Below are 8976 nucleotides of genomic sequence, written 5' to 3' on the forward strand. Positions count from 1 at the left end.
CAGCACTTTAGGAGGCCAAGGTGGGCGGATCACCTGAGGTCAGGAGTTCGAGACCAGCCTGACCAACATGGAGAAACCCCATCTCTACTAAAAATACAAAATTAGCCGGGTGTGATGGCACATGCCTGTAATCCCAGCACTTTGGGAGGCCGAGGCGGGTGGATCACAAGGTCAGGAGATCGAGACCATCCTGGCTAACAAGGTGAAACCCCGTCTCTACTGAAAATACAAAAAAATAGCGGGGTGTTGTGGCGGGTGCCTGTAGTCCCAGCTACTCGGGAGGCTGAGGCAGGAGAATGGCGTGAACCTGGGAGGCGGAGCTTGCAGTGAGCCGAGATTGTGCCGCTGCACTCCAGCCTGGGCAACAGAGCAAGACTCTATCTCAAAAAAAAAAAAAAAAAATTACAAAGAGCAATTGGTTGTCATGTTTCTTTCATCTCTTTTATGAACTCTTTTGTCTCCCTGTCTTTTTTGTGTTTTATTTTGAGTTTTATGATGTTAACATGTTTTAAAAGACAAAGACAGTTGTCTGGTAAAATGTCCTGTTGTCTAGATTCATCTAACTGTTGGTGTCCTCATAATTAGATTCAAATTAAACATTGCTAGCAAGTATACATTGCTTCTTTTCAGAAGGTGCATGATATTAGCTAGGCTAAGTTTAATCACTTGGCTAAGTTGGTGTTGACCAGACCTTTCCATTGTAAAGGTGCCTAATCCTCTTGATAACTAAGAAGGCACCTGTGGGGTAATCTTAGAGAGCATGTGCATGTTTTTTTCCCTGACAGTGATTCACCCAATGGTTTTAGCATCTATTTTTGATCCTTATATGAATCAATTATTAAGTTGCTGGTTGCAATATGGTACTAACTTGATTTCTAAAGTCATTTTACTGAAGAAAAATTCTCCTTTCCATCCCCATGTTCTGCTTGGGGAAAATCTTGGCCCCAAAGATGGATGACAGAAGGACTGATGAAAGTGAAACTTAAAAACAACTATCCAAACACACATTAACTATGAAGATGTTTGAAGGGTTTTCTTTTCCTTTCTAAGTAGGTATGCAGGAAACCTGTATCTTAGAATGAGAGCCCTTTATTTTAGAGATTTGTACTTAAAATTATCTTTATTGATGCAGATGAGGGAAAACTAAATAAATTGCCATTCTGATTTTCTTTTGGACTGAGAGAATTCAGTACTAATGAGATGAATTTTCTTTCAGTGCCACAATCTGAAAAGCTATGATGTATACCATACCATTTGAAAATGTCTTAGAAGTAGTTCCTTATAAAGCATATTATATTGAAATCAAATGGGCATTAAAACCATGGAATTCCTTTGAAAGGTGGGATAAAGCAGAAATTGTTTTGTCTTGGTACTTCTTGATCTAGGCTAATAATGCTTTGGAGGAATTTGTCCTGAGGCTTTTTACTCATTCTGCTCATGACTGGCTCACTTAGTGAGTGTTATCTGATGAAGATCTTATTTCACTTCTGAAAGTACAGCGTTATTCTGTTTGTTTGAGGTATTAGTAGGTAGCAGGAAAAGATTGACTCCAGGCATTGCAATATAAAACCCACCCGTCCATCTTGAAATTGGTGGTGTCCTACATGCTATATAAGTTCTCCCACTTGCAATTTATAATGAGGAGACATATTTTTGAAGCAATTAACTGTTCCCTTTAAGTCAACAAAATTGTTCTTTATTATTGGAGTAAGGACTTTAGCACTCTGCAGGAAATCGTTTATAATTTGCTTCATTTTTCTTTTGTTTCATAAGAGGATTTTAGACAGTATTCTTGTGGCCAGTTAGACTTGGACCCATGCATCCTCTTGAGCCGTGAATTTGCTAGTCTCAATCTCCTGGGCTCAAGTGATCCTTGAGCCTTGGCCTCCCAAAGTGCTGAGATTATAGGCATGAGCCACCGTGCCTGGCTGATAACATATTTGAAACTATAATGAAGAGATACTGAGATTGTTTCCTATTTTAAAATACTTTGTCCTGCTTTCTAATATATAGCATGACAGTCAACCTCAAAGGGTATGGAAAGCTTACTTTATTGTAAAGACTTGCAAAGCGCACTGCTTAAATTTTAGGGACAGGTTCATACCTGCCAAGCAGGTTTATAAAACACTGATGAATAAACACAAGTTTGCCAGAAATCTTACTAAAGAACAGTGCATCTTATTCAGTGTAGACAGTCTTCTAAAGTATTTTGGTTGAGTTTTTCTTAGAGCTTAATAACTAGACTAAGGATTAAAATAATAAAACTAGTTTCAAGTCTCTTGAGAGTAAGATATGTCATCTTTCAGGCTTATCATAGTGTCTAGTCTAAAGCAACAGTAAGGCTCCAGGTATATTTGTTTGATTACATTTTCAATTTAGTTTCTAAATTCCTTTAGTCTTATTAGATTTCTCAATCGATAGGTTGCCATCTCACTTGATGTCTACTTGATGGCCATGTTCTCTTCTTGTCTGCCTCCCTTTTCATTCCTATTCTTGATCCTACTGACCAGTCACTTTTGACTTAAAGAATAGCAACTCTTTAAGCTGTTGTATTTGACTTTTTAAAAATTATATAGACAGGATGTATTAAAAACATTTAAAGAATTACATAAAGAGAGCTAGATTACTCAGTACTAAACACTGTGTTAGGATTTGGTTTTTCATTGTTTTTTTTGAGATGGAGTCTCGCTCCATCGCCTAGGCTGGAATGCAATGGTGCTATCTCAGCTCCCTGCAACCTCTGTCTCCTGGGTTCAAATGATCCTCCTACCTCAGCCTCCTGAGTATCTGGGATTACAGGCACCTGCCACCACACATGGCTAATTTCGTATTTTTAGTGGAGACAACATTTCACCATGTTGCCCAGGCTGGTCTCAAACTCCTGACCTCAAGTGATCTACCCACCTCGGCCTCCCAAAGTGCTGGGATTACAGGTGTGAGCCACCGCAACTGGCCCACTGTGTTAGGATTTGAAATAAAAAGGAACTAAGACCTGGTGCTTGTCCTTGAGAGCTCACAGTCTACAGATAAAATAGATCTATAAAGAGAGCTGAAAAGTACAGGTCATGGCAAGAAGGTGGCAGGGCAGGGACTAGGGGACAGCTAAAGGAGGGTCATGATCCTTTACCTGAGGGATCAATATAGTCCCATAGAAACCCTAGAGCAGGATCTTTAAGGATGAGTTTCCCAGGCAGTCAGGGAATGCAGAGGGAATTCCCTATGGTTTTGTGTGTTGGCTGCAGTGAGGAGCAAGAGGGTCCCCTTGGGGAACTTGGTGAGTATAGATTTTAGAAAGGTTTGGGAGAAGGGCAACATGGCAGATGTCACTAGATGTGGTAGAAATGCCAAGTTTGGGAAGGAGGTGTATGGGTTGGATCTAGACAGAAGCGGATATAAGTCGGGGAACAGGTGTGGTGATAGGACTCCAAATCTTGGTGAAGTCAAAGAGCAGGCAAAGGTGGGAGAGTGTGTTCAACTGAGTTGTGGGTTGGGCAGGTGTCCTCAGGGAGGCTGACGAAGTGAGAGGCCTTGGGGTGTGACCTTGAGCATATATTCCTAAAAGGGCCCTATTTTTTATCTCCTCCCTCCTACTGTACTGTCTTTCCTGGGCCATATTCACCACACTGTCTTTCACCTGCATTTTTAACCAGTCAAGATCTCATACCTCCATTCCATACTAATTAAAGTCAGTTAAAGTCCTCCACCTTAAATAATCTCATTTGTAACCCAAAGAATCTCATACAGGAAACCTTTTACAACCAACCCCCCCATGCTGAATGGGTTATTTTTTTCATTAGAACTCAGCGTTTACTCACTATAGAGTATTATCACTCATACCCTTTATAATCATATGTTTGCCTGACCTTATGTCTTAAATAAGTTGCTTGAGCCTAAAGATTGGAGGTTTTTTTGTTTTTGTTTTTGTTTTTTTGGCAAGCTTGAAAAGTATCTGGCACTCCTATTTGTTAAATATTTGTAGAAGGAAGGAAGAAGAGAGGAAGGAGAGGGATACAGAATTGAAATTGAGGAAAGGAAGGAATTTGAAACTGAAGAGTCATATGCTTTGCCACGTAAACTCTGAAGGTCACACAGGATGGTAGTGCCAGCAGAAGAAGAAGGACGTTGAGTGAACCTGTGGTTGAATGAGGAGGATGGTAGAGATGCTGGGGAGGTGAGAGTCAGGACAAGAAGGCTGAGGGCAGCCTTCCTCAAAGAAGTTGACATTTAGTGGAACGTTCAATGACAATTGCAAAGGAGTTTCAGAGGGCAGAATGGAATGGGTTGGGAGAGGATTTGGTTAAGATTTGCTGAAAACCCTGAACTTTTGGTAAATACTGCTCTGTGTGGGAAATGTTTCAATGAGAATTGACTCTTAATTAACTCTCACTCTTGGATATCCCTTGAACAAGTTGTCTGGAGAGTTCCTCAGGATAATGTCTACTTGCAACAACAGTAATAATATTTATCAAGTGCTTGTGTTACCTCATAAACTCTCACACTAACCCTGTGAGGTATGTATTATTATCTTCCACTTCTTTTGAATGAAGACAGCTAGACTTAGAGTGGTTAAGAAGTGTTCACAGTCGTCACATTGCTCCTAAGTGGGCCACTACTACAGCCAAGGCAACACATGCTGGAACCTGTCAAGTACCCAGAGAATATCAGAACTGCTGTCCGATCTCCTGAAATTGAAATTAATTTCCTCAGTGACTCAATACCCACTGCCACTCACTCAAGCCCTGCAAGTTCAAGCCAAATCATCCTGCCACCACAGGAATCTGATGGGTCACGCTGCTGCCTACTGAAAATGGGGATTTGGGTTAGTGATAAAATAGGTTAAAACACATAAAATAGGTAAACTAGGGTAAAATACAGTAAGAATGGGTGAGAGGAGAGAAAAAGAATACTTCAGTTTAGGAAGCATAATACTACTTAAAATTTCCTGAGAATAAATTTGTCTTCTAGACAACACATATACTTTCTTTTCTTTTTTTAAATTTTTCTTTAATTTTTATTTATTTATTTATTTATTTATTTATTTATTTATTTGAGATAGAGTTTTGCTCTTTTGCCTAGGCTGGAGTGAAGTGGTGTGATCTCAGCTCACTGCAACTTCTGCCCCCAGGTTCAAGCGATTCTCCTGCCTCAGCCTCCTGGGTAGCTGGGATTATAGGCGCCCCCCACCACACCAAGCTAATTTTTGTATTTTTAGTAGAGATGGGGTTTTGCCATGTTGGCCTGGCTGGTCTCAAACTCCTGATCTCAGGTGATCCACCTGCCTGCCGCAGCCTCCCAAAGCGCTGGGATTACAGGTGTGAGCCACTGCGCCTGGCCCACATATGCTTGAAATGTGAGTCAAGATGGTGTGCTGGGAGAGGAAGATGTGGGGTAACAAGAGCATTTATTTTGTTTATTGAGGAAAAAACAAACTGATGGGGATTATTAATGGAATCCTTATTATGGATTATTTTAAACTTTCCAAAAAGTTTAAAAATCTGTCTATATGGGATGTCCTAATTCAAGGGTTTCTTGAGGTTGAATTCTCTTGCCTCTGTGAAAGAGTCTTTTCGTTGGTGCTGACCGATGGGGACTTTTGGTGGCATTCACAGGGTGATCCCTCCTCAGCAGAGAGGGGAGGATACGCTGCCTCAGCCAGCTGAAGGCCCACCCAAAGTTCAGGCAGCACTGGGCCTGTGTGTGTGAAGGAGTGTCATCCTTCTCTGGCTGCTCTGACAGGATTGAGGAGATCTCTGGAGCGCTTGTCCTTTGGCTGGCGGTTGCCTGGCTTATCATCTGCCATGAAAATGAAGGATGTGTTAGGTAGGAATAACCATGACAACAGCCAAATCAACGTTTACTCATTTGTGGAACTCACATCCTTTTACCAAAAATAGCCCAAGTGTCAATGCAGAGTTTCAATGCTCATCAATACTAAACATATACGTTTTTGGTGGGGAGGGAGATATAGTTAGCCCTTCTCCTTGCTTGCTACCCTCTTGTTTCCCTCAGCATTCCCAGTCTTTTCCCTACAGCTTCACCCTGACTCCTTTCCTTGTTGTCTCCCACTGGTATCACGTCAGTCCCCCTGGGACCTGCCTCCTCCTAGTGGTCATAAGATTCTGTGGTTCAACCCAGGCCTATCCCTTCCTGTCCTGTGAGGCATCTCTGCTCTCCTCAGCCAGCTCATGTCCCTTAAGCCTTAGAGGAGTCTGTGGAGACTACATAACATCTTTATTTTCTGGTGGCTTGCACTTGGGCAGGTCTTGACAAGCATCATATTCCTGATGACTGACCTGAACCATTTCCGGAGGGGAGCCGCTGGATAGCTGGAAATCTTGCTGAGCAGTTTCAGGAAATACAGCGTCATCATCTTTCAGATTTTCTAGAAATATCTGAAACTCTTGCACAAGATTATTCAGTTTGCCAACAGACAGTTTTGTTCTCTCTTTTGGTAACTTGTCTATCCACAGGTTGTCTCCATTTAGAAGCCTATTAGCTCTTGAGTCTGTGTTATCGGAGCCAATGTCCACGTCCCAGGCCAGGAAGATGCTTAGTTTGCAAAACTGCTCTGGTTCATCCTGAATTTGGTCTTGTCTCTTCATGCGTCTCCCTATCCTTTCAGTCCCCCATGCCCCTTGGACGGGAGGCAGAAAGTGGATGGAAGGACCCTTGGAAGGTGCATCTTCCCAGGAGGTTGTGTCCTCACAGGGGGTGTCCTCACAGGGGAAATAGCCCACAGAGAGGCTCAGGTTGGAATTGGATTTGGAGCTGTCGTCCTCTATGTCGCTGTTAGAGGATGAATATGCCATGGAGTTCAAAGGCACAAATTTCTCTCAACTTGAGAAGCTTCAAAAAAGAAAAAAGAAAAAATAGGTGGGACTAAGGAGAAGAGAGTCATAGTACTTAAGCAAAAACATTATCCATTCCCTTCTCTTTTTTCTTTTTTTTTTTTTGAGACGAAGTCTCACTCTGTCTCCCAGGCTGGAATGCAGTGGTGTGATCTTGGCTCACTGCAACCTCAGCCTCCCGAGTAGCTGGGACTACAAGCACACGCCACCACACCTGGCTAATTTTTGTATTTTTAGTAGAGATGGGGTTTCACCATGTTGACCAGGCTGGTCTCGAACTCCTGACCTCAGGTGATCCACTCACCTTTGCCTCCAAAGTGCTGGGATTATAGGTGTGAGCCACCACACCCGGCCCCATTCCCTTTTCTATTCAGAACTACCCCATTTAGATAGAAGTATTATCCAATAGTTTTTGTTTGTTTTTGTTTTTTTTTTTGAGATGGAGCCTCGCTCTGTTGTCCAGGCTGGAGTTCAGTGGTGTGATGTCAGCTCACCGCAACCTCCGTCTCCTGGATTCAAGAGATTGTCTTGCCTCAGCCTCCCGGGTAGCTAGGACTACAGGCACATGCCACCATGCCCAGCTAATTTTTTGTATTTTTAGTAGAGAAGGGGTTTCACCATGTTAGCCAGAAAGGTCTTGACCTGACCTCGTGATCTACCTGCCTCGGCCTCCCAAAGTGCTGGGATTACTGGCATGAGCCACCAGGCCTGGCCAGTGTTATCCAGTTTTTACAATCTCTCAGTGAAGGGCAGAAGAGGCAGCCCTCTCCCTTTTAAAACTTATTTCATTGTATTATAATCCTCTCTACTAAGCATCTCCACTTCTCATCATTTGTCCTACTGTGGTTGTAAGATCTTGTATCATAAAAGAAAAGGATGATCATTGTATAAAATTGGAAAAATATAGGAAAGTATGAAGATGAAATAAATATGCTGTAGTCCTACCTTCTAAAGATAATGATAACTATCAAAACATTTTGATGGACTTCCTTATCTTTTCTATTTATATAAACACACATATACATATCTGTACATTTATACAATATGTCCACATACACATATACATATATGTAAATGTGGATATGACATATAGTTGAAACTGAAATTATTTTATCCCATAGCCTACAACAAACATATATATGGTTACTCTGCAATTTTTAACCACTTCTTATTAATGCTAAATAAATCTGTAATAAACCCGCTTTTCCATAAATCTTTGACTATGTCTCTTATTTTTCTATATGTAGGATTAATGGACCAAACCCCATAAATATATTAAAGTCTTGTGGTAGTTGATACCAAATTACTTTCCAGAAGGTTTTGGTATTTAGATGCCCATCCTCCCACCGTCTGATGACACTGTTTAGTCCAGCTTTTTCTGTGAAGCCCCAGAGTAAGTAGGGCTGGAAGAATGTGCACGTGCATGCACGCGTGCACGCGCGCACACACAGACACACACACACAAACAAAAGACTGTCACACCCTGCTCTGGTGGCTGCCCACGTGGAAGAAGTGCTGCTAACTCCTGAGGCAAAAAAAGGAGACACGAGAAATCCTTCACATCCCGAGTCTCCGTGGCTAAAAGTCCAGCTGTCAGAAGTCTGTGTTCTGAGACTGTTGGTTACCATGGCAACAGAAAGAACCAAGTTAGAGCCAGGAATGTGGAAAGAGAAAAGGAAAAAAGGGGACAGAAAGCCACAGAATCTATCCCTTTGTTTCCAAAATATTCTATGCCCATACCATCCTAGGCTGAAGAGGATCCCTCTTGAGTGTAGAAGAACGAATGCATGGAGTTTACTTCTCTCTTGTCAGGTGGCAGATGGTTCCCGTCCTTAGGAGATTTAGAGCTCTAAATAAGGGGCATGGGTATAAACATACACATACATACACACACAGAGACATGCTTACAAATGGAAAGCAGAAAGCCAAGAAACACTTATCTGACCTACCTATTGGATTCATCAGTTTTCTTAAGATCTTTCCCCAATATTTGTCTCTCTCCATTTCCATTATACAAGATTACAGTTAAAGTTTGTCGTGACTCACTCTCAGGTTTTTCACTGTAGAACTGGCTTAAATTTGTATATTCTGTTAAATAAGATGTTTAAGGAATTCTGATGACATGATA

The 8976-nt window shown here is 41.7% G+C and overlaps 1 protein-coding gene across 2 annotated transcripts; it reads right to left on the reverse strand.

Annotated features, from left to right (window-relative positions):
* Positions 1-5382: 5382 nt before the first annotated feature.
* C12orf71 (chromosome 12 open reading frame 71) lies at positions 5383-8453 on the reverse strand. 2 transcript variants are annotated; one of them, NM_001384983.1, is made up of 3 exons: positions 8331-8453; positions 6294-6846; positions 5383-5793 (listed from the first exon to the last, which is right to left on the reverse strand). In NM_001384983.1, exons 2-3 carry the CDS (start codon positions 6807-6809, stop codon positions 5500-5502), a joined length of 810 nt encoding a protein of 269 aa, NP_001371912.1. In that variant the 5' UTR covers positions 6810-6846; positions 8331-8453; the 3' UTR covers positions 5383-5499. The 2 variants fall into 2 exon arrangements, with proteins under 2 accessions (NP_001371912.1, NP_001073875.1); NM_001080406.2 differs by lacking the exon at positions 8331-8453 and having other exon boundaries at positions 6294-6904.
* Positions 8454-8976: the final 523 nt, after the last annotated feature.

Source organism: Homo sapiens, chromosome 12, assembly GCF_000001405.40.
Source record: "Homo sapiens chromosome 12, GRCh38.p14 Primary Assembly".
NCBI classification, from domain to species: Eukaryota; Metazoa; Chordata; class Mammalia; order Primates; family Hominidae; genus Homo; species Homo sapiens.

Coding starts and splice junctions, on each gene's coding strand:
- C12orf71 (NM_001384983.1), bottom strand. CDS start 6,809: ATGGCATATTCATCCTCTAACAGCGACATAGAGGACGACAGCTCCAAA. Junction 5,794..6,293: donor CCCCTCCGGAAATGGTTCAG/GTCAGTCATCAG, acceptor TTTTCATGGCAG/ATGATAAGCCAGGCAACCGC.